At 50.8% G+C, this 24,446-nt stretch overlaps 1 protein-coding gene and 1 pseudogene across 1 annotated transcript, besides 5 other annotated features; one reads left to right on the top strand and one right to left on the bottom strand.

Annotated features, from left to right (window-relative positions):
- Nucleotides 3,493–3,707: a silencer, noted in NCBI's record as "fragment chr5:176778754-176778968 (GRCh37/hg19 assembly coordinates)". NCBI's record gives its function as "represses an EF-1alpha promoter that drives an FKBP-Casp9 reporter gene in an ReSE screen in phorbol 12-myristate 13-acetate-treated (for megakaryocytic differentiation) K562 erythroleukemia cells {active_cell/tissue: K562(+PMA)}" and the evidence as "EXISTENCE:reporter gene assay evidence [ECO:0000049][PMID:32094911]".
- Nucleotides 3,602–3,651: an enhancer, noted in NCBI's record as "active region_23707". NCBI's record gives its function as "activates an Ori minimal core promoter by ATAC-STARR-seq in GM12878 lymphoblastoid cells {active_cell/tissue: GM12878}" and the evidence as "EXISTENCE:reporter gene assay evidence [ECO:0000049][PMID:35858748]".
- Nucleotides 3,662–3,851: an enhancer, noted in NCBI's record as "active region_23706". NCBI's record gives its function as "activates an Ori minimal core promoter by ATAC-STARR-seq in GM12878 lymphoblastoid cells {active_cell/tissue: GM12878}" and the evidence as "EXISTENCE:reporter gene assay evidence [ECO:0000049][PMID:35858748]".
- On the top strand, nt 3,792–23,893 carry LMAN2 (lectin, mannose binding 2). The gene is made up of 8 exons (NM_006816.3): nt 3,792–4,008; nt 4,169–4,287; nt 16,855–16,972; nt 17,675–17,754; nt 17,936–18,097; nt 18,210–18,324; nt 21,057–21,176; nt 23,214–23,893. The coding sequence occupies exons 1-8, from the start codon at nt 3,813–3,815 to the stop codon at nt 23,372–23,374; spliced, it is 1,071 nt and encodes a 356-aa protein (NP_006807.1). The 5' UTR covers nt 3,792–3,812; the 3' UTR covers nt 23,375–23,893.
- On the bottom strand, nt 9,000–9,392 carry RPS20P17 (ribosomal protein S20 pseudogene 17; annotated as a pseudogene).
- Nucleotides 15,625–16,578: an enhancer, noted in NCBI's record as "H3K27ac-H3K4me1 hESC enhancer chr5:176765883-176766836 (GRCh37/hg19 assembly coordinates)". NCBI's record gives its function as "activates a minimal SCP1, AML or CMV promoter by ChIP-STARR-seq in naive H9 embryonic stem cells {active_cell/tissue: H9 hESC(naive)}" and the evidence as "EXISTENCE:reporter gene assay evidence [ECO:0000049][PMID:30033119]".
- Nucleotides 18,812–19,437: an enhancer, noted in NCBI's record as "H3K27ac-H3K4me1 hESC enhancer chr5:176763024-176763649 (GRCh37/hg19 assembly coordinates)". NCBI's record gives its function as "activates a minimal SCP1, AML or CMV promoter by ChIP-STARR-seq in primed H9 embryonic stem cells {active_cell/tissue: H9 hESC(primed)}" and the evidence as "EXISTENCE:reporter gene assay evidence [ECO:0000049][PMID:30033119]".
- Nucleotides 23,894–24,446: the final 553 nt, after the last annotated feature.

Here is a 24,446-nt window from a genome sequence, read left to right as displayed (position 1 = left end):
GGCCTGGACCATTGCCAATGGTGGTCTTAATAAGGTGTGTGACTGTTTCAATGTGCCTGTGGGGGTTGTAGGGTGTGTGATATGGGTGAAGACTTCCTGTCTGCTGTGCCATGGATCTGGGCCATTTCCTAGGTGGCTTTACAGTCCTAGTCCTCACAACCACTTTGTGAATGGTGCTTATTATTACCATTTCACAGATCAGGAAACTGAGGCTCAGAGAGAAGTGAGTTGCCCAAGGCTATACATCCTCTTAGAGATCTGCTAAGCTGTGAGTGTGCTTGGGGTGCCTGGAACTGGGCTTTGGCCACCACAGATGCCCACAGCTCATCTTCTTCCTGCCAAAGGACAGTCACAGTCTCTGCCTGGGACTCCCTTTGAAGTTCATACTCTCCTGCAGAGACACCTCTTCCCTTCTCTCCACCATGGATGCCAGTTCTAGCTCTGACCACATCTTCACCACAGCTAGCCCTGGCTGTTCCCATCTCTTAGCCCTTATCTAGTCTTCTCCATGCCATGAGAGTGGTGGAGTACCTCCACCCACAAAGCACCATCCTCGACTTCTCCCTTCCTGGCTGCCCACAGGGCATCAGTTCCTGATTTAGTCTCTGGCTGGGACTTCAGATCCTTCTTCTCTGTGAAGACCTCCTTGGCTTAGGCCTCACCCTCTCTCCCCCGATCATGATGAATCCAGTCTCCCTATTATCCCCGCTCCAATCTCTTCTCCTCACCATAGCTAGAGGAATCCACATTGGTCACTCCCATGCTTAGAAATATCCCATTGAGTTCTGGGAAAAGGCCATGTTCCTTACTTGGGAATTGAAGGCCCTTTGAGTTTTGGCTTCAGCTCCCCCGCAGCCCCCAACTCCAACTTCTCAGCCATTCCAAACTACTTGTATTTCATCTGCTCTCACACATCCCTCCCTAGATTGCAGCTCCTCTTCTCTCTGCTGAGAATGCCTTTACCTTTCCCGGAAAACTCCTACTCATTCTTCATGACCCAATTCCAGGTTCTAGAACAAATATTCATTCTTTCACCAGTTACTTATTAATCACCTCCTATGTGACAAGCACTATTCTAGATGCCAGGGATTCAGTAGTGACCATAGCTGACAAAAATCCCAGCCCCATGAAGGTCCCATGGAATGTGCATGTTTTTGTTTGTATGGGTGCAGATAAATCTCTGGAAGGGGACACTCCTTGCGAGGGGAGTGGCAGAAGACTTTTGTTGTGTCTTTTCTTTTCTTTTCTTTTCTTTTTTTGAGATGGAGTTTCACTCTTGTTGCCCAGGCTGGAGTGCAATGGCACAATTTTGGCTCACTGCAACCTCCGCTTCCTGGGTTCGAGTGATTCTCCTGCCTCAGCCTCCTGAGTAGCTGGGATTATAGGTACCCGCCACCATGGCCGGCTAATTTTTTGTATTTTTAGTAGAAACAGGGTTTCACAATGTTGGCCAGGGTAGTCTCGAACTCCTGACCTCAAGTGATCCACCTGCCTTGGCCTCCCAAAGTGCTGGGATTACAGGTGTGAGCCACCATGCCTGGCTTGTTGTGTCTTGTATGTCTGTTCTCTCTCTGTTTCCATACACACCACAAGAATGTGTGACTTTTTTGAGACAGAGTCTCACTCTGTCACTCAGGCTGGAGTGCAGTGGCAAGATCTTGGCTCACTGCAACCTCCACCTCCCAGGTGCAAGTGATGCTCGTGCCTCAGCCTCCTGAGTAGCTGGGATTACAAGTGTGCACCACCACACCCAGCTAATTTTTTGTAGAGACAGGGTTTCGCTATGTTGGCCAGGCTGGTCTCGAACTCCTAGCCTCAAGTGATCCACCCACCTCGGCCTCCCAAACTACTGGGATTACAGGTGTGAGCCACCGTGCCTGACCAGAATGTGTGACTTTAATAATAAAAAAGCGAACGAAAAATATATGACCAAGAAAAGATTCAGCACTCAATCCTGAATAAGTCCATTCATTCAAGAGGGCAGTTTCTAAAAGGAGCAAGCAACCAACATCCCTCCCTGTGATCTACAACAGGAGTCATTGATTCAAATGTCTGGAGGAGCCAGGCAAGTGCTGTAAACGAGTGACCAGGTGGGGACCAGCTTAGAAGAGGAAGGCATTGGTGGAGGGGCAGTCCCATTCAGCTCCAGCCTATTGTTCTGTTGTGGGAATGTGTGCCTAGATCTTTTGCTGCTGCTTCTTTTTTTTTTTTTTTGGGTAAAAAAACGGAAGTCTGGATTTCTTTTCTTCTTCTTCTTCTTCTTTTTTTTTTTTTTTGTAGAGACAGAGTCTTGCTCTGTCGCCCCGGCTGGAATGCAATGGCGTGATCTCTGCTCACTGCAACCTCTGCCTCCTGGGTTCAAGCAATTCTCCTGCCTCAGCCTCCCGAGTAGCTGGGACTACAGGTGTCCGCCACCACGCCGTTAATTTCTTTTGTATTTTAGTAGAGACGGGGTTTCACCGTGTTGCCCAGGCTGGTCTGAAACTCCTGAGCTCAGGTAATCTGCTCGCCTCTGCCTCCCAAAGTGCTAGGATTACAGGCCTCAGCCACTGAGCTCAGCCGGAAGTCTGGATTTCTGATGTGAATGTACATATTCCGACTTTGTGTGTGTGTGTGTGTGTGTGTGTGTGTGTGTGTGTGTGTGTGACAGAGTCTCGCTCTGTCGCCCAGGCTGGAGTGCAGTGACGCGATTTCGGCTCACTGCAAGCTCTGCCTCCTGGGTTCAAGCCATTCTCCTGGCTCAGCCTCCCGAGTAGCTGGGACTACAGACACCTGCCACCACGCCCGGCTAATTTTTTGTATTTTTTAGTAGAGACGGGGTTTCACCGTGCTAGCCAGGATGGTCTCGATCTCCCGATCTCGTGATCCGCCGGCCTCAGCCTCCCAAAGTGCTGGGATTACAGGCGTGAGCCACCACGCCCAGCCTCTATATTCTGACTTTAAAATACTGGTAGTTAAGCCATTTATTAGAATATTGGCAGGTAAAACAGAGCTCTATTCAGCTGCAGGCCACCAGTTTTCGACCTCTGATTCACAGCTTTCCTGGGCCTTCCATGGACGTTACTTGCTGTACCAGGCACTGCGCTCTTTTGCATAGGGATGAGTTCCAGTCATCACTGGGGTCCCAGGCCAGGATCTGTGTCTGTTCCTCTTGCTTCAACCCGACTAGGCCTGAGGAGTTGAGGGTAGTGGAGGCCCTCAAATAATTGGGAATTCTGAGTCTCCAAAGGCGCGAAGCTGGGGCGCCTGACGGCAGGCACGGCTTAAAGGCTTGCCCAGGGCCACCCGGGGAGGACAAGGGTTGGAATGCAGGACTCCGCCTTCAATTCAGAGCTCCTTTCTCCAGGACTAGAAAAGGTTATTCCAGAGACGGGACTTGCGGCCAGAAGCCCAAGACGTCCTAGTCTTCGCGAATCCGCCCCATTAGAGCGACCGACAAAAACTACAAATTCCAGCATGCCCCGAGTCGCGGACGGCCCTCGCGCTCCCGCCGGCTCCAACCATCCCTCTGCTCCTCATTGGCTCGCAAGCCTAACGTGCTGTTCCGTGACTGGTTACAGCTCTTGTCGCTCGAAAGAACCCATTGCTGGGGCTGGCCGGCGTGTGCCTTGGAGCCTCTAAGGAGATGAAACTGCACTCAACCAGGATGAGAGGCTGCCCGGCCAATGCAGCTGCCGCCCCGTCTGCTGCGGAGGCTTTGCTTTTTGACTCCCTGGCGACAGTAAAGTTGAAGAGCTTCCGGCCGGAGGCCAATAGATGGGACCCCCGGAAGGCGGAAGTTCTAGGGCGGAAGTGGCCGAGAGGAGAGGAGAATGGCGGCGGAAGGCTGGATTTGGCGTTGGGGCTGGGGCCGGCGGTGCCTGGGAAGGCCTGGGCTTCTCGGCCCCGGCCCTGGCCCCACTACACCTCTCTTTCTTCTTTTGTTGTTGGGGTCTGTGACTGCGGATATAACTGACGGCAACAGTGAACATCTCAAGCGGGAGCATTCGCTCATTAAGCCCTACCAAGGTGAAGCCCTTGGGGCGGGAATGAGTGAAGAGTGAGGGCGAGGCTGAACAGGGCTAGGGGAAGGCGTGCCCTTTCTCCTGAGCAGAGCATCTCTGTGGGTTTCCTGCCTCTGGTGAGGCCAGTCCTGGCGTGGCCTCTTAGCACCTGTCTCTTCCCACAGGGGTCGGTTCCAGCTCTATGCCCCTCTGGGACTTCCAGGGCAGCACTATGCTCACGAGCCAGTACGTACGTCTGACCCCTGACGAGCGCAGCAAAGAGGGCTCTATCTGGAACCACCAGGTGAGTGGTTCTCAAGAGGATAGGCGTACTGTGCGGTTGGCTGCTAGTCCCTGCCTCCCGAGCAGCTGAGACCCCAGCTTCGTTTATAGGTTTGCACCTCCGTCCCTGGCCTTTTCCTCATCTCGGTCACACCCACCAATAATAAGAGGCGATGGGTATTGGGTACTTACTATGTGTCAGGAGCTGCGCTTGACACTTTACATCCTCCTCACTTTAAAAGCCATGCGAGATGAGTAATGTTATCTCCATTTTACCCACTGAGAAGCTAAGACTCAGGTTTGAAAGGGCCTTACCCAAAGTTACATAGCCAGAAAGTAGTGGAACTGTCAGGCTGTCTGCCTTGAACCCCCTCAGTAATGGGAAGAACCGAGCGAACTGGATCTTTATTGGGTGTTTTGCTGTGTATTAGGCACTGACCTTGCCATGCCTTATTGCATTTAATTTTCAAACAAGCTGTTTGAAATAGATGGCTTTCATGACTATACAAAGATAACCCAGCTAGCAAATGTCATAAACAGTATTTAAACTCTGATTTGTCTGATCTCTAAGCCCAGCAGTTCACTCGATGTACTTGACTCTTTTCACCTGGACAGTGGAGGAACCCCTTAGAACCCTTTTTGCAATGCTTGGTTGAGGGTCTTGTCATCAGTAGTGTGGAGGGACTGGACCTGTGGGCAGTTCTAGTGTCTGTGACCTTTGCCTCAGAGTATGTAGTATGTAGTATGTGAGCAGTGGCCAATGACAGCTGCTACACAGAATCCACACTGAGGCAGTCAAGGTGAGGAAAAAGGGGAAAGAAGAATAATTTGGGGCTGGGTTACAGCTTGGAGCGGGACCTGCTCCTGCCCCAGCTTGCCTAATCTCAGCCCTTCCCATGGCTTAAGCTGTTGGCCAGTGTTCTAGTTTTCTCCATCACCCTGCTCTCTGATCCCTGCTGGTTGACTTTCTTGTTTAGTTCTGGGAACCCACACTGTCCTTGTGTTGCCTGGTCTGCCCGTCCCCTCTGCTCCTCCTCTCCTTCCTGCCCCGAGCCTCCACACTGCTGTTAGTGGCATCTGCGGATACTTTCTTCAGCTTTCAGTCTGATCCTCAGAGCGTGGAGTCCCCTGTGAAGGGGTAAGCATGCATTATGTCTGCACAATCTGGCCCCTTGTGCATCTCCAGTCATTCTCTGTGTTAATTTTGTTCCAGCCCCCCCTGGCTGCCTTCTTGCCTCAGGACCTTTGCACCTGTTGTTCCCTCTGTCTGGGACACTGCCTCCTGGCTCCTCATGCCTGCTTGGTTCCTTCTCATCTGTTAAGTCTCAATTCAAGTGCCACCCACGCAGACATTTCTTCATTAACCACCCTATCTCCCCCGAGTCACATTCTGTCACATTCTGTCTTAGGGCTTTCAGATATTTTAAAGAAATGATAATTCAGCCTTATATTTTTCATGGAAATGAGTTCAGTATAGCATTATTATTATTTTTTGAAAGCAAGGTGCAAACAGTGCTGGAACTGTAGAAATCAGGAGTAGCCACAAGTAATAGACGCATCTAAGACAGTGGCTTACATTTTGGTTGTAGATAGCTGATGGTTGGCATCATCAGTGGCTCGAGGATGTCACAGGACTGAGAGGCTTCTGCACTTGCCTTCATCGAATTTTCAGTCTGGAGTACAATTGTTTTGCCTTCCTTCCTCCACCTTTCTATTTGGCTCTGCTGATATTCCTGAAACATTTGGAGTGCTTCCTGTAAACTCTGGAAAGAAATGGCTTGGAAATCAGAATTTTCTGTTCAGTGTTTCCCAAGAACTGCCTCTTCCTTTAATGAGCTGGAGAGATGCTTCCTAAACTTTTCCCTTTTTTATCTCCTTCATTCACTCCATCCGGGAGAGGCATGCACTCAGGCGAACATTCCCTGAACACCTGCTGTCTTCTGAGCAGCCATAAAATAGCTCCTGCTGTGGTGCAGGGGGGGTGGTCTAGATGAAGGAGTGGCTCAGAGTTGACTAGAACTCTTAAGTGCCTGGTGGCTGCAGCATAGGACCTGGGGAGGCTGCTCAGGCCCTGTCCTTTTGGGGGTCTTGTGCGGAGGCTGCGGCAGTGGTCTTTAAGCTTTCTTTGCTGTTGTAGCAACCTTTTGAAAAGTTGGCATCAAAAATTGTTTGTCATTAGGTTTAAGTATTTGCAAAGGATGACAGCATATTTTAAATATTGACATTTTAAACTAAAACTGTTCAGTATTTTAAACATTCAGTGGAATCTAAATATTGCAATTTGATATCCACTTTTTTTTTTTTTTTTTTTGAGACGGAGTCTTGTTCTGTCACCCAGGCTGGAGGGCAGTGGCGCAGTCTCGGCTCACTGCAACTTCCGCCTTCCTGGTTCAAGTGATTCTCCTGCCTCAGCCCCCTGAGTAGCTGGAATTACAGGTGTGCACCACCACGCCCAGCTAGTTTTTGTGTTTTTAGTAGAGGTTTTTTTTTTTTTTTTTTTTTTTTTTGAGACAGAGTCATGCTCTATCACCCAGGCTGGAATGCAGTGGTGCGATCTCAGCTCACTGCAACCTCCACCTCACGAGTTCAAGCGATTCTTCTGCCTCAGCCTCCCCAGTAGCTGGGATTACAGGCGCGCACTGCCATGTCCAGCTAATTTTTTGTATTTTTAGTAGAGATGAGGTTTTGCCATGTTTGCGAGGCTGGTCTCCGACTCCTGGCCTCAAGTGATCTGCCCACCTCGGCCTCCCAAAGTGCTAGGATTACAGGTGTGAGCCACTGTGCCTGGCCAGTATGTCAGTTTTTTAATTGAACTTGTACTTTCATTTCCACACAGAATATTATCCTAATGCAATATATTTAATGCTTGAAAATGTTATTCATTAGCCTACCATATTCTTCTGCAAGTAAAATTAATATAATAATTTAAACTTTTCAATTTTGTTGAGACTGAAACTTTTAATATTTTGTTTGAGATTATTATAATTATCTGTACACACTTGATAAAAGTAAATGCATTACACAGTTTTTGAGTAATTATACAAAAGTAAACATTTTTTGAAACATGAGATCTCAGTAGGATGTCACCCCCCACCCCCATCTGGATGGATAATACTGTCAGAATAAGACAAGTTCAGTACCACTTCTACTTTTTGTTTTTATGTACATGAATTCTGAGAAACTGTGTTCTCTTAAATAGTAGTTGGAGATGGGGTTATTTTTAAAATTTTAAATTTCTATTATAGATGGGATCTTACTATGTTGCCCAGTCTTATCTTGAACTCTTGGACTCAAGCAATCTTCCCACCTCAGCCTCTGAGTATCTGGGACACAGGTGCTCACCACCACTGTGCCTGGCACAGCGGGAGTTTTGGTAGAGCAGCATCACTGAATATTTTGATCTTCTTTTGGTTTATAAACCCAACGTCATGCAGTGATCTTTTATCAAAATTTTTGATGATGTTTCGGCTGACTGTTGATTACATCTGCATTCCGTTTCGTTGCAAGCAGAGATGTGGAAACTGCTGAACTGTAAAATAGCCTCTTATTGCCAGGTGATTCTGATGTAGTTGGCCTGGTGTAGGACCAAGGCATTAAGCTTTCTGAGCTCCCCAGGTGGGTTTGCTGTGGGTTAAGAACTGTGGTCATATCGTGTTTGTCCCCAAAAGCAGCTTCTGAATCATTTCCAGCCTGTGCCTTGCCTGCTTAAGATCCTCCAGAGGCCTTCTATTGTCTGTATCATAGTATGTCTCTACTAATCTGCAGTTTTAATCTGGGGTCATGAAGACTTTCCAAGGCCTGCGTAGTCCTGGAGGAGTCTGTTTCCAGGTCCTCCACTGTCTCATGTGCTCATTCCTGAAACCAGCCTCCCCGTGAACATGCTGGGAATGGGTGTGTGGGTTTTCCTTTCCCACCTCCCTCACTCAGTTGCCCTTCTGCTCTGAGGTCAGCCTCCCAACAGCCTGGTCTTTCTTCAGGGTGTTGTCCCCAGGTGCAGAAAACTCCTGGGCACCAAAGAGACCATTTGAAATCTGGTTTCTGGGCTGACTTTTGTACATGTGAGATATTTTTTTTTAAAGTTTTCAAATATATGAGGGCTATTTTAGTTATCTTTTAAAATTGTTTATTATTGTTAGATAGCTGATGGAATTGCATCATGGTCAGATTTTTTGGACGCGTTCTGTTTGTGCTTATGAATGTGGATTCTCTACTTGTTGACTACAGTGTGCCACGTAGGTTCTTTAGGTCAAACTTGCTTTCTGAGCTTCCCAGGTGGGTCTGCTGTGCAGCCAGGGTTAAGATTGAGTTCGGATCTTCTCTAGCTTTCCTCATGTTTTTGTCTGCTTGCTTTTATAAGTTACTAAGAGAGCTTTGTTAAAAATTTCTGTGTATGGCTGGGCAAGGTGACACGTGCCTGTAAGTGTCAGCTACTGGGGAGGCTGAGGCAGGAGGATTGCTTGAGTCAAGGAGTTCAAAACCAGCCCAGGCAGCATAGTAAGACCCCATCTCAAAAAAAAAAAAAGTGTTAAAAAAATTTCTGTATATGGATTTGTCTGCATCTTTGTAGTTCTGTCAGTTTCTGTTTTATATGTTTTGAGGCCAAATTAGGTACATACAAAAACTTAGATTTATTATATCTGTAGGTAAATGGAATCTTTTATCATTAAGAAGAACCCCTTTTTACATTTTGTTATGGGTATAGCTATAGAAGCTTGCTTTTTTTAAAAAAAAAACAACAACCGGTAATCAATTTATTAAAATAGTCAACTTTAAATATCTGCAATGGTGACTTCCACCTCAACTCCTGGCTCAATACTGATGGAAGTAATCTGCTTAATCTCAGAAGGACTGTGGAGGTCAGTGAGCCACTTGTGGATTCTCATCTGGAAACGATCCCGTGTGTTAGAACCTTCACAAGGAGTTTTTCTTGTGGTGATTCTCGAAGCCTTGATAGGCGTTCCAGCTGGTCTTTTCACTTTGAGATTCTTTTCCTTTGCTCCTCTGATCAAGTCAGCACACACCTTTTCTGGGGATTCTATGTTGCAGCTCATTAAAGTGATTCAGATTCAGTGAATTGTCACCTCTGGCTCCGCAGGTTTTCTTCAGGTATCTTTAAAGCCGTGGGTGGGCCGGGTGCGGTGGCTCACGCCTGTAATCCCAGCACTTTGGGAGGCCGAGGCAGGCAGATCACCTGAGGTCGGGAGTTCGAGACCATCCTGGCCAACACGGTGAAACCCCGTCTCTATTAAAAATACAAAAATTAGCTGGGTGTGGTGGCGGGCGCTTGTAGTCCCAGTTACTCTGGAGGCTGAGGCAGGAGAATTGCTTGAACCTGGGAGGCAGAAGTAGCAGAGAGCTGAGATTATGCCACTGCACTCCAGCCTGGGCGACAGAGCGAGACTGTCTCAAAAAATAAATAAATAAATAAATAAATAAATAAATAAATAAATAAATAAATGCATGCCATGGCTGCTGCGAGCCTTCCTGACCAACTTGTTCCTCAGCCAGAGCAAACAGTGGTGAGGCAGGAGCAGGAGCGGGCAGACCACAGCTCTGCAGCGCCTGTGGCCCTGTCTTCCTGAAGGAGCAGAAGCTTGCTTTTGGTTAGTGTTTGCATGATACATTTTTCCTGTCCTTTTACTTTTTCCCATTTCTTTATGTTTTAGCGTTTTCTCTTATAAATGGTATATTACTAGGCTTCAGGGGTGTTGTTTTTATGTTGTAAATGCATATAACATAAAATTTACCACTTTAACCCTTTTTACCTTTAAATCCATTAATTTATGAAACTATTTTCTTCAGTAGGCTACACATTGACATTGAAAGAGTGGCTTTTTTTTTTTTTTTTTTTTTTTAGACAGGGTCTTAATCTGTCACCTAGGCTGGAATGCAATGGTGTAATCACGGCTCACTGCAGCCTCGGTCTCCTGGGTGTGATCCTCCCACCTCAGCCTCCTGAGTAGCTGGGACTACAGGCGCACACCACCATGCCTGGCTAATTTTTTTTTTTTTTTTTTGGTAGAAGTAGGGTTTCACCATGTTGACTAGGCTGGTCGTGAACTCTGGGCTCAAGCAGTCCACCCACCTTGCCCTCCCAGAGTGCTGGGATTACAGGCATGAGCCACTGCGCCCAGCCTGACAATGGCATTTAAAAGATGTCATGGCTATGTAAAAAAATGTTTCCACTGTTGTACGTACACATCTGCACATGCAAGAAAATTTCTCAAATCTTTCTTCCTTTTCTTTTCTCTTCTCTTCTTTCTCTTCTTTTCTTTTCTTTTCTTTTTTTGAGACAGGGTCTCACTCTGTTGCCCAGGCTGGAGTGCAGTGGCGCGATCTCGGCTCACCACAACCTCTGCCTCCCGGGTTCAAGTGATTTTCCTGCCTCAGCCTCCCTAGTAGCTGGGACTACAGGCGCCCGCCACCGCACCCGGCTAATTTTTGTATTTTTAGTAGGACGAGGTTTCACCATGTTGGCCAGGCTTGGTCTTGAGCTCCTGACCTCAGGTGATCTGCCTGCCTCGGCCTCCCAAAGTGCTGGGATTACAGGTGTGAGCCACTGCATCTGGTCAAATTTCTCAAATATTTCTATTGTGATAAAATGTATGTAACACAGGCTGGGCGCGGTGGCTCACGCCTATAATCCCAGCACTTTGGGAGACCGAGGTAGGTGGATCACGAGGTCAGGAGATCAAGACCATCCTGGCCAACATGGTGAAACCCCGTCTCTACTAAAAATACAACTAATTAGCTGGTCATGGTGGCGTGTTCCTGTAATCCCAGCTACTCAGGAGGCTGAGGCAGGAGAATTGAACCAGGGAGGCAGAGGTTGCAGTGAGCTGAGATCACGCCACTGCACTCCACCCTGGCGACAGAGCAAGACTCTGTCTCAAAAAAAAAAAAAAAAAAAAAAGTAACAAAGCGTACCATTTTAACCAGTTTTTAAAATTAAAAAAAAATTTTTTTTTTTTTAGAGATGGGGGGGGTCTCACTTTGTCACGGAGGCTGGAGTGCAGTGGTGCAATCCTAGCTCATTGCAGCCTCGAACTCCTGGAGTCCAGTGATCCTCCTGCTTAGTGTCCTGAGTAGCTGGGATTACAAGGCATGTGCTATTGTGCCTGGCTAATTTTTTTTTTTTTAATTTTTTGTAGAGCTGGGGTCTCACTATGCTGCCCCGGGCTGGTCTCGAACTCCTGGCCTCAAGCAATCCTCCTGCCTTGGCCTCCCAAAGTGCTGGGATTACAGGCGTGAGCTACTGCGCCTGGCCCATTTTAACCATTTTTAAGTGTACAGGTCAGTGGCATTAAGTGCATTCACATTGCTGTGTAGCCATCACCACCGTCTGTCTCCAGAACTCTTTGCTCATCCCAACTGAAACTCTCTACCCATTTAACAATCACTCCCATCCCCACAGTCCCTGGTAACCACCATTCTACCTCATCTCTGTAAATTTGACTATTCTAGGCATCTCACATAAATGATAAATGGAGGCATACAATATTTGTCTTCTTTGACTTATTTTACTGAGCATATGTTGAACGTTCCTCCATACTGTAGTATATGTCAGTACTGCATTCCTTTTTGTTGCTGAGTAATATTCGTGTGTGTGTGTGTGTGTGTGTGTGTGTGTCTAGACCACATTCCGTGTATTCATCTATTCGTAATGGACACTTGGGTTGTTTCCATCTGTTGCCATTGTGAATAGTGCTGCAGTGAACATTGGTATACAAGTATCTGTTTGAATCCTACTTTCAGTTCTTTTGGGTATATACCCAGGAAGTAGAATCTCTGGATCATACGGTCATTCTATTTTTACTTTTTTGAGGACTACCAAACGGTTTTCTGTAGCAACTGCACCATTTTATATTCCCACCAGCAATGCACAAGGATTCCAATTTCTCCACATCCTTGCCAACATTTGTTATTATTTATTTATTTATTGAGATGAAGTCTCGCCCTGTCGCCAGGCTGGAGTGCAGTGGCGCGATCTCGGCTCGCTGGAACCTCTGCCTCCCGGGTTCAAGTGATTTTCCTGCCTCAGCCTCCCGAATAGCTGGGACTACAGGTGCCTGCCACCATGCCCAGTTAATTTTTTTAATATTTTTAGTAGAGACAGGGTTTCACCGTGTTAGCCAGGACGGTCTCCATCTCTTGACCTCGTGATCTGCCCGCCTTGGCCTCCCAAAGTGCTGGGACTACAGGCATGAGCCACCGCGCCCGGCCTAGGGTTTTTTAATATATTCTAGATATTAATCCCTTATCAGATATGTGATTTGCAAATATTTTCTCCTATTCTGTGGGTTGTCTTTTCACCCTCTTGATCATGCTCTTTGATGTACAAAAATTTTAGTTTTAGTGAAGTACAATTTATCTTTTTTTTTTTTTTGTCTGTGCTTTTGGTGCTATATCCAAGAAATCTTTACTAAATCCAGTGTCATGAACATTTTTTCCCTAGATTTTCTTCTAAGAGTTTTAAAGGGTTTTTTTGTTGGTTTGTTTATTGTTTTTTGAGGCAGGGTCTCATTTTATTGCCTAGGCCGGAGTGCAGTGGCGTGAACACGGCTCACTGCAGCCTTGACCTCTCCAGCTCAAGTGATCCTCCTGCCTCAGCCCCACAAGTAGCTGGGACTACAGGCATGCGCAGTCAGGCCCAGCTAATTTTTGTATTTTTTTGTAGAGACAGGTTTTCACCGTGTTGCCTGGGCTAGTCTTGAACTTCTGCGCTCTGGTGATCCACCTGCCTCAGCCTCCCAAAGTGTTTCAGATTACAGGTGTGAGCCACTGCAACCGGCCAGGTTTGAGCTCTTAAGTTTAGATCTCTGATCTTTATATACTTATTATTATTTTTTTTTATAGAGATGGAGTCTTGCTGTGTTGCCCAGGCTGGTCTTGAACTCCTTGGCTCAAGCAAACCTCCCATGATGGCCTCCCAAGGTGCTGGGACTACAGGTATGAGCTACTGCACCTGGCCTCTTTACTTTTCAAATTAAACTTTTTATTTTGACATAATTATAAATTCACATGCCGTTGCAGGAAATAATACAGAGATCCTAGGTGCCCTTGGGTTTTGTTTTTTTATTTAGCATTTAGTCCATTTACATTTAATGAAATATGATACATTTGGGTTTAATCTGCTATCTTACTCTATATATTCAAATTGCCTATTCTCTGTTCATTTTTCTCTCTAGTCTTCTTTTAGGTTAATTTTTATTATCCTATTTTTCCTCTTCTATTAGCTTGAAAGTTATATGCTCTTTTCTCAGTTTTAAGTGGTCACCCTAGAATTTAAAGCAGGCATTCATGTTGTACCAAAGACTAATGATAATGTGTACTTTACCTTCTTCCTGGACAGTGCAAGGATCCTAACACACTTTAACTCCATTTATTGTTGTCATTTGTTTTAATTATTTCTGTTTTAAATCACACAACCCATTGTTTTGTGCAGTCAGATATTTAGATTTTCACCCTTATAGTCACTGTATTTGTTGTTCTTCGTTCCTTCTGGAATCTGACTTTACATCTGGATGGGGATCATTTTCTTTCTCCCTGAAGAATGAAAGTGTGAGTCTGCTAATGAATTCTTTTGGTTTTTGTTTGTTTGTCTCAAAATATCTTTATTTTACCTTCATTCTTGAAGGATACATTTGCTGAGTATAGAATCCCATGCTGGCTGTTACCTTCCTGTATCTCCAAACATATCAGTCATCTGCCTTCTTGCTCCCGCTGTTCCCGCCGTGAAGCCGGGTGTCAGGCTGATTATTGCTCCTGTGAGAGTCATTGCCTTTTTTCCCTCTGGTTCCTTTTTCTTTAAGATTATTATTTTTTTTATGGCCGGGCGCGGTGGCTCACGCCTGTAATCCCAGCACTTTGGGAGGCCGAGACGGGCGGATCACCTTAGGTCGGGAGTTCAAGACCAGCCTGACCAACATGGAGAAACCCCGTCTCTACTAAAAATACAAAATTAGCCAGGCGTAGTGGCGCATGCCTGTAATCCCAGCTCCTCAGGAGGCTGAGGCAGGAGAATCGCTTGAACCCAGGAGGCAGAGGTTGCAGTGAGCCAAGATCACGCCATTGCACTCCAGCCTGGGCAACAAGAGCGAAACTCTGTCTCACAAAAAAAAAAAAAAAAAGAAAAAAAAAGGCTGGGCGTGGTGGCTCACATCTGTAATCTCAGCACTTTGGGAGGCTGAGGTGGGCGGATCACAAGGTCAGGAGATCGTGACCATCCTGGCTAACACGGTGAAACCCTGTCTCTACTAAAAATACAAAAAAATTAGCCGGGTGTGGTGGCGGGCGCCTGTAGTCCCAACTACTGGGGAGGCTGAGGCAGGAGAATGGCGTGAACCCGGGAGGCAGAGCTCGCAGTGAGCAGAGATTGTGCCACTGCACTCCAGCCTGGGCGACAGAGTGAGTCTGATTTTTTTTGAGAAAGAGTCTCACTCTGTTGCCCAGGCTGGAATGCAGTGGCACAATCTCGGCTCACTGCAACCTCCACCTCCCAGATTCAAGCAGTTCTCCCGCCTCAGCCTCCCAAGTAGCTGGAATTACAGGCATGTACCACCACGCCTGGCTAATTTTTGTATTTTTAGTAGAGACGGGGTTTCACCATGTTGGCCAGGCTGGCCTCAACCTCAAGTGATCCACCTGCCTCAGCCTCCCAAAGTGCTGAGATTACAGGCGTGAGCCACTGCACCCGGCCAAGATTCTCTGTTTTTAAGGAGAACAATAGACACTCCAGACTAGATGGGGGAGGACGTGGGTTGAAAAACTACCTATTGGGTACTGTTCTCCCTGCCTGGGTGCAGTATACCCATGTAACCTGCACATGTAGCCCCTGTATCTAAAATAAAAGTTGAAATTGAAAAGAAAGAAAAAATGCTTTTGTGGCACACGTTCTCAGGATTGCCTGGGGCTGTACCACGGGGAAAAAAATTAGAAAAAAATAGTTTCATGTTAAAAAAAACTTTTTTGTTGTTGTTGCTGTTTCCTCTATCCCTCCCTTCTTTTTTTGTGCCTAAATATGGTTTTCTTTTTAGTCATCTCCTTTGGTTTGTAGGACTTTTCAAGTTTGTGGCGTGTCTTTGAATCAGTTTTAGTAAGTGCTTAGACGTCTTTAAATATTCCTTTGCCTTCATTTCTCACATCTTACTCGGGAATCCCAATTATATGAGTCTTAGCCTCTCTCACTGTTTCCTCTGTCTCTTACCCACAATTCTATATCTTCCATTCTTTTGTGCTCTCGGGGACTCGGCCTAGGTTTTGTTATCTGGGTTCCTGGTGCCCAGAGTGGGAGCAGTGAGTCTGTGGCATCAATGAATGCATGAAGCATATTGCTCAAATTGGGGTACAGTGTTTTTTATTTTTCTGTGATCACAGAAGTAATATGTTTATTATACATTATTCAAACATGGTAAACAGTCGCCATAATCCCCCTCCCAGAATTACCCATCATTAATACTGGTTCATGTTCCTTTACTCCTGTATTCATTTCTCTTCATGCTCATCTGCATTGGACGTTAATGGTCTTTTTCACAGTTGCCAGTCTGACAGGTCAACATCCTGTTTGGGTTTGCCTTTGTGATGGGTCTTTGTTTAATCACTTGCTTACATACCCATCTGCAGACTTCCTGAAAGTGGATTCTTGTCACCGTGTGTGTTGACACCTTAGTTTTCACAAGCGACTTCCTGATGCCTAAGGCAAGGCTTTCTCCCTTGGCGTAGGCGGTGCCCATCCCTGCCCCAGCTCACATGGTGGTGCCCTTGAGTCCCAGAGCACGACCCTGACCAGCTCTCATCCCCAGCGCTGGTACCACACTTAGGCTGGGCTGGGGAGGTGAACTGGTGAAGGGCTGGGTTTTGGAGTCAGCCAGACCTGGGCTTGAGGCCAGCAGCACTGACCCGGCCTGATTTTCCTCACTTGGGAAGGTTGGTTAGCAGGGTGGATGTGGCAGTGGATGTGGGTGACCAGAAAGGGGCTGGTGCAATTTATGTGAAAGGCCTGCAGGCCGCGGGAAGTACTGAAGGCAGAGCAGAGCTCTCGGAGTCAGAAAACCCTGCATGTGAATCCAGACAGTCCGCTGAGCAGAGCTCTCGGAGTCAGAAAGCCCTGCGCGTGAGTCCAGACAGTCCACTGAGCTGCTCTGGACAAGTTGTTACACCTCTGAATTTGTTTTCCTGTAAAATACTTTGCTCAAATAGGAGTTGTAACGTCTGCAGAAGGTTCCAGGGCAAGAGCAGTGGATGGAGAGGAAATGGCTGGTGGGTTTGGCTGGTAATGAGGGTGAACAGTGTGGCAGCCACCTAAACCTACTCAGGAGCAGCCTGAGGTCTGCTGGCGGGGTCTGGGCCTCAGGCAGCCTTGGAACACTGGCCTCCCCCACCTCACCTGGTGCCCAACAGTCTCTTCCCTTCACGGCCAGAACATTTAGGGGTCTGTGGTCAGTGGCACTTGTGGCCCTGTGCCAAGGAGTGCCCAGTCTTAGCTGGGGAGAGAAGAGAGGTCTGTGGGGCAGGGGCCGTGCTGGGGTTGCCTCCAGCTTGCTGGAAGGCCCTGGGGAGCTCTGAGCAGCCCATTCTGCTCTCCCTCCAGCCGTGCTTCCTCAAAGACTGGGAAATGCACGTCCACTTCAAAGTCCACGGCACAGGGAAGAAGAACCTCCATGGAGACGGCATCGCCTTGTGGTACACCCGGGACCGCCTCGTGCCAGGTGGGCTGGTGTTCGCTCAGCTGGGCCCTGTGGGGGTGGGCACGGGCATGGCTGCTGGCCCCCTAGGGAGGTGGGGTGGGGCTGCCTGTGGCTCGTGGGGACCAGCGTCTCCTCTCCTGTTAGGAAAGTGCTGCCTCCCGTGGATAAAGTCCTGCGCCTCCGGAAGGAGCCTGGCTCTGGAAGGAAGGTCACTGAGGGGAGAGGAGCAGCTGGGTCCTGCAGCTCAACCCTACACCCTCATTGGCCTGGTTTTACCATTTTAAACAGTTATTGTTGTAAAAAAGCCAAAACATGAAGACTGTGTGGCTGTGACTGCATGTGGCCCACAGACCCTGAGGTGTTTCCTTGGTGGCTCTTCACAGAATGTTTGCTGCCCCTAGTATAGAGGGTAGAGCCTCCTGGGTAGGGCTGTCCTGTGGCTCACTGTTTTTTGTAGGCCAGGTACCCCCTTGACACCTGACATCTGCCTCAGTCCCCTCACAGTTCAGCCTTCAAACTTGAGTCCTCTGTGTCATATGCCTAGACCCCCCACTTCTGAGGAGAAAGCCTCAGCTTTCTCCTTTCACGATCCCTTCTCTCTCGGTGAATGGCCAGTGGGTTGGGCTCTCTTGCCCCCACCCATGTTGGCATTGCTTGCCTTTTAGGTACCCATGGGACGGCTCCTGTTTCTCCCATTCTGAGAGCATCTGCTTATAATTCTAGGGCCTGTGTTTGGAAGCAAAGATAACTTCCACGGCTTAGCCATCTTCCTGGACACCTACCCCAATGATGAGACCACTGAGGTAGGCCCCTGCTCTATCCTGCTGAGCAGGAAAGGAAGGACTGGGCAGTCGGCTAGAGGAGGGGGCCCTGGGACTTCCATGGTCCCAGCACAAGAGGAGCCTCCAGGGATTGGGGTGGTGGGTGCCCCTGCTCGCCCCACAGGCTGGGCTGCTTGTGGAGTAACCGATGTCTTGGTCCCAGCGCGTGTTCCCGTACATCTCGGTGATGGTGAACAATGGCTCCCTGTCCTACGACCACAGCAAGGATGGGCGCTGGACCGAGCTGGCGGGCTGCACGGCTGACTTCCGCAACCGCGATCACGACACCTTCCTGGCTGTGCGCTACTCCCGGGGCCGTCTGACGGTGAGCAGGCTAGGCGGTGGGGGTGGCAGCTGGTGGCCCTGTGCTGGTCCCACAGAGGCTCAGGAGGGCAGGCTGCTGTCCTGCGAGGTGCTTAGCGTGCTGGGCCCTGCAGGTGATGACCGACCTGGAGGACAAGAACGAGTGGAAGAACTGCATTGACATCACGGGAGTGCGCCTGCCCACCGGCTACTACTTCGGGGCCTCCGCCGGCACCGGCGACCTGTCTGGTGAGTGGGCCGGGCCAGGCGTTGGTTCCCAGCCCAGCTCACCCTGAGGGACTGGGAGCTTTCCATGCAGTTGATTGCCTGCCTTCATGTGGTTTCTGAGCTCACCTGGCTGTGTTCCTCCTCCTCCTTTCTTCTGTAAATGGCCTGTCCGGGCCTCAGTTCCTGTGGTTTCTGGGCTCACCTGGCTGTGTTCCTCCTCCTCCTTTCTTCTGTAAATGGCCTGTCCGGGCCTCAGTTCCTGTGGTTTCTGAGCTCACCTGGCTGTGTTCCTCCTCCTCCTTTCTTCTGTAAATGGCCTGTCCGGGCCTCAGGCCTTGAACGGTCCCTTGGCAACCTTCCCCATCAACAGGAGGCAGCGGGTCAGTTAGATTTGGGCAATGTAGATTCCCAGATTTATCTCCAGCCCAGACCGCTCTGGACCTGCTCAGCCCTTGTGCCCACAGCTGAGGCCACATCTTGCCCATCGGGATGTCAGTGGCACCTGTGCCCCTCTATTTGCTTGCTGTCTTTCCGGACCCTTCTTTCTCTCACATGGCACCTCTGGTCCATCAACAGTCCCTGTGGCTTTATTTTCACAGCACGTCTCACCACTTCCCTCCCCTCCCTGACTACCTGGCGGCTTCAGGCCACCAGTGTCTCTCACAGGAGTCTCCCAAGTGGTCCCCTCCTTCACCAGCCCCCAACAGTCTCTCGTGAGCACAGCAGCCGTGTAATCGCCTTCAGTAATCGCCTTCAGCCCGTGTGAGGCCTCCTGCTGCTCTGCGCAGAGCTCTGCAGGGGGCGCCAGGGCCTCTGTGCCAGCCCTGCCACCTCTGGCTCCCTGCTCACTGCTCCCCCTGCCTACTGTGGCTTCCAGCTGCTGCCTGGATGCGCCTGTGCCCTCCTGCCCCGGCTGTTTCACCCTTGTCTCCTAGGGCCTTGCTCAGATGTTACCTCCTCAGTGCGGCCTTCCCTGATGCCCTCGTGGAATGTCGTGCCCCCTCCTGTGTCCCCAGCCCACTCCCCAGCATCTTTGCTGGCTTTATTTTTCTTCATAATATTTACCATCTTTGAGTCTACCGAGTAATTAATTTTATTGTCTCTGGCCCTCCTGCTCAATTGTAAGCTCTATAAATGGCTGTTTGGCCCAGGGCAGGTGCTCAGCGAGCACTGGGGTGCCTCTAACCTGCTCAGGCCTCACTGGTCACCAGGCCGTGGTGGCCCTTGGCTGTGGTTCTCGGTTTCTCTTTGGGGCCCTGAGCAGGTGCCAGGCCCAGGGCCAGCTCCTGACCAGAACTGGCACGTGACACGGGGGACCTGACATGGGCGGTTTATCCTCAGGATGACCCATTCCAGGGCCTGTAGTCTGCCCACTGCCCAGGAGCCTCCTCTCTCAGCATGGAAGTGCTTGGGTCCGCTCAGACCCCAGAACATCCATTGTTTGGGGGTTTTTCAGTCACATACCCAGCAGAGGAGAGAGGTCTGGTAAGCACCCTTCCTGCCAACCAGCTTTCATCATTTCCAGCTCGCGCCTGGCTGGTTTCCCTCCTGCCCCGGGTTGCCTGGAACTTCATCACACTGTTTCAGCCCTTGTCTTTGGAGGGTTCTTGATAGGAGCAGAGCAGCACCAGTGCTGTGGCCGGTGGCAGCTCTCACAGCTGTTGGGAGAGCCCAGCACAGAGTGGAGGAGGCACCATGAGGGGAGCCGTGTCTGACCACTGGTCAGGGGTCATCAGTGCCAGGCACCTTACGGGTGATGTCACCTGATGTATTTTTAGGCAGATGGCCATCTCGTTCCCTTTTTACTCAACCATTGGGAGTTTGAAAACTGAAAGGATTTTTCCTAAGATACGAGCAGGAAGCAGCAGAGCCCAGATGGGAACTGGGGCCTGACTCCAGGGCCGGTCCTTGTCCTGCAGGGCCGCTCGCCGTCTCCAAGGGCTGTGCATGCTCGGCTCTCACACTGTGTGCCTGGCCGAGCTCTTGCTCATTAGGTCCCCCCTTGGCTCCAGAGATTCCTGCTCCCTTCAACAAGGCCTTTCCTCAGATTCCAGTCCCAGGCTGACCAGGACCCACGTGTCGGCTTTGAGCCTCAGCCTCCTCATCTCTACAATTGGGTGATCCATCAGCGTCAAGCCAGGGCTCTTCCCTGTGCATGCCATTGGACAGAGCCTTTCCCCAGTCTCCTCAGGCACAGCTGCTGACCTGCGTTAGGCTCAGGCCCTTAGCTGGTTGCCGAGTTGTTCCCCTGCAGCCTGTATGTGGGTCTCTGTGGCAAGAATGTCTGGTGGCTCCTGCCCTTGGGACCTCAGCCTTCTCAGCCAGTCACACAGCGACTGTTGGTCTTTCCCGGGTCTGTTTTTGAGCACTTATTCTGCAGGCAGGCCATCTTCTGTGTGGTGTAGACCCTTCTCATGTACTTGCCATGGCAACCACACAGATGGAGATCATCACTCCTCTACATGTGCGGAACATGAGCCTCAAAGAGGGCGGCAGACCCCAGGATTTAGACCCAGATGATTCTGCTTGTAAAGCCCTTACTGTTTTCTCTCCACTCTGCCTCCTCTCTTTTTTATTGCTGGTGACTGGAGGGAGCTGGGAAGAAAACAGGCCCTAGCCGGCTGGGCAGTGCTCTCCCCAGGGGCCTGGCAGGTTTACTGGCTGCAGCAGCAGCTTTCCTTGTGGGAGGGTCTTGGGCCACGTGCCCTGCGGCTGGCCTGTAGGCTGTCACAGGTTTATTCTTGGTCCTGCAGACAATCATGACATCATCTCCATGAAGCTGTTCCAGCTGATGGTGGAGCACACGCCCGACGAGGAGAGCATCGACTGGACCAAGATCGAGCCCAGCGTCAACTTCCTCAAGTCGCCCAAAGGTGCGTGTGCACAGCCCCGCCCTGCCTGGGCCTGGGCGGCCTGACCCAGAATGGGGTGAAGCCAGCCTGGCGGGTCTTGTGGTCCAGTCGTGGTTGTGGTGGTTGTGGTCTGGGCTCTTGGATCAGCCCGGTCCTGGCAAGCGGCACTGGCTGGCCCTGTCCGAGCTCCTAGAGTATTGGGCTTGGATCGTGTCAGCTCTGGCAAGTTTTTGAGTAAATGAATGAGGCGGAAGAGAAGTCTGCAGAGAGTCAGTCCCTGAGGACATCCTAGTCACGTGAGTGCTGTGGCAGCAAGCAGTGGCTGATCAACAAACGTGTGAGTGGTGGGCCAGCATCCTCCCTCACTAGGTGCTGGGGCAGTGGCCAGCAGAGCCAGGGGGCTGGGTATGTTGGCCCACCTGTCCCTTCTGTGAGCCACCTGGAAGAAGTCGTGCTGCTGGTCAAGGGGGTGGATTCCTTAGCTAGAAGGAGAGAGAGAGCAAGATTGGAAATTGGGTTTCTACAAAACCCGAAGCCTGGGTTCTTCCCATGGCACTAATTAGCTACCCCTTTCCTCACAGAGTGAACGTTGTGGTTGGAGGAATGAGGCATCTGTGTGTGGAGAAGTCCACCCTAAGAGCCACAGATGTGTGCCTGGGGGTCCAGCCAGTGACAGAAGTGCACGGCGCGGGCTCTGTCGTAGCCCAGCCCTGGGTCCCCATGCCGTGTGGGCCAGTTTGGCCGCGTGTTTCTGCTTTTCAGGAGAAGCCAAGATCCAGTGTTTTATGTGACAGTTCACTTTTTAAAGATTCAGATTATTTTGAAATGTTTTGGGGACCACACAAACCTTGCTGCAACCTTTGGTCAGAAGGCTGCCAGCTGCTGGGTGTTTGCAGAGGTGGCACCTGCCTTGCCCACCCAGCATCCCGTGCAGCTGGCAAGGCAGGATGAACTCGTTTTTAGATTCAATCCATTTGTTCCTTCAGATGTGACCAAAGCTGCCCTCTGTGCCTAGCCATGGGCTGGGTGCTGGAGACACGAGATCAGGCAGGCCCTGCCCCTGGGGCTCATTCTAGGGTCTGCGGCAGACAGGGAGACAGAGGGAGCTGTGAGAGCCCTGAGGCTGAGTGGCTTTCTGGGGAAGCACCATCCCTAGGGACCTCCGCGTTCGGTCAGTGGCCGCTGCTGTCGGTGTGCAGAGCAGAGGCTGGGGCGAGAGTGGTCAGCAGGCCTGCTGGTGGCAGCTTGTGCAGGAAGGGAGGATGGAGGTTGGCTTGTGGCTGGCAAGAGGGTGGCATGCACGTCGCTGAAAGGCAGGGCCTGGGCCCGAGGCCTGGGTGTGGGGACGCCTGAGGAGACTGTACAGTGTGGAGTCGGGGGGGCCGCAGTCAGGGAGGGAGGCAGAGTGGCAGAAACAGGGCCCAGCCAGACCCCAGCTCCTCCACCCACAGCCTGGAGAGCTTGGGAAAGTCAGTGTCTTCTCTCCGCCTGTACAAGGGAGCGTACCAGTGGGCCCCATCCCAGGATGGGCAGGACCTGTGGGAACCTTGTGTGGAGGAGAGAGGCTGTGGGCTGGGGTGGAGTGTGGGACTCAGGTCCTGGGAGACCCTCCTGGGGGGCTGCCGAGAGCATCCAGCTGTGGGCTGGGAGAGCCTGTGACCAGGGCCGCGCTGCTCCAGAAAGGGCCCTCAGACCACAGCGTGGGGGTGGGGCTTGGATATGTAGACTCCTGGGCCTCCCCTTATCCAGAGTTGGACTCAGAGGAGCCCAGGAGTCTGGTTTTAACTGGCTTCCTGCAGCAGAAGGCAGCCCAGGCTTGTCGCTGGGGTCCCGGGTCCCTGTGGGCTTGGTCCTCTCTCTGCCCCACCCTGCCCTGGGGACTGCAGAGCTGGCTGGGATGGGCTTCACCTGACCTCTGCCCCTCCCCGGTGAGGGGGGTGAGTACGACCGGCCTGCCCACCGTGGCCGGCTGTCCTGTTCCATCCCCACTGCCCTCCTGCAGCCCCCTGATCCCCGGCCCGTGCTGCCGTTTCAGCTCCCCCGTTTCTTCTCCCCCAGACAACGTGGACGACCCCACGGGGAACTTCCGCAGCGGGCCCCTGACGGGGTGGCGGGTGTTCCTGCTGCTGCTGTGCGCTCTCCTGGGCATCGTTGTCTGCGCCGTGGTGGGGGCCGTGGTGTTCCAGAAGCGGCAGGAGCGGAACAAGCGCTTCTACTGAGTGGCGCCTCCGGCGGGGCCTGTCCCTGGGCCCAGGAGCCAATGTGAACTTTTTTTTTTACCGGGATTATAAAAGAACAACAAGATGACCTTATTTCTTAACTGTTTCAAATAAATGATTAAAGTATTTTCATACATTTTGCTTCTTGCCCAGCAGGGACAGGTGGCAGAGCCGAGGCTTAGGGTCTGGCACCCCCCACAGCTGGAGACGGAGGCTCTCCTGGGGCTGGTGTCTCAGGAGCAGGGGTCTGTGTCTACAGATGGGCTGTGGCCCCTGCAGGCAGCTGTTGAACACTGGAGGGTCCCCCGGACCACACTGGGGTGGGCTCCTGAGGACGTGGGGAAGTGATTTTGTTTTGTGGTGTGTGGCACGTGTGGCGACGGATAAGGCCTGAACTGGGAAACCCAGGCCTTCCTGTTCACCCTGAGCTGCTTCCTGAGACAGATGCTCAAGTGAGGCTGCAGGCGCGGTGTGGTGGGGCCGAGTGTGACCGTTTGCTAAATAAAGTGAAATACCCAACCTCAGCCGTGTGACTGTCCTGAGGGGCTTGCTTTGCTTTCTCTTCTAATGACTTCCAGCCCGCCAGTGCTTTAGAGCTTTCAGCTCGTCTGCTCTGACCTGCAGAGTCCCGGAGGATGGGATGGGTTGCCCTGTTTCCCAGCTGGGGACACACGGCTCTCAGAGGTCAAGTACAGCTTGCCCAGTGTCACCTGGCAAGTGATGTTTTGGGGATGGGGCCCTGTGCTGTCTCCCACATGCTCTGGGCCTCTGGGTAAAAGGATGGGTGGTAAGGGGCACCACGTGGAGGCTTGGCTGGGCAGGCGGGTACACTGACGGGGAACTCCGGGGGGCTCTGGGATGATGTGCAAGGGGCTGGAGGATGGTGGGGGTGGTTGTGGCAGTCCCTTTGGGGCACCTCAGGGGACAAAGATGATAACGGGGAGTGGAGGAAAGGCAGCAGCTGAAGGCATGGCACCACCCCCGGCAGCTTCCATAATCGTCGCCCCCAGCTGTGGCTGCCTCCACCTCGCGCCGTGGAGCAGCATGTCCCGTCCCGTCCCAAGCCACCCCT

Source organism: Homo sapiens, chromosome 5 (genome assembly GCF_000001405.40).
Source record: "Homo sapiens chromosome 5, GRCh38.p14 Primary Assembly".
Classification (NCBI taxonomy): Eukaryota; Metazoa; Chordata; class Mammalia; order Primates; family Hominidae; genus Homo; species Homo sapiens.
Note: the sequence above shows the minus strand (reverse complement) of the source record. Positions and strands in the feature narration are given on the sequence as shown.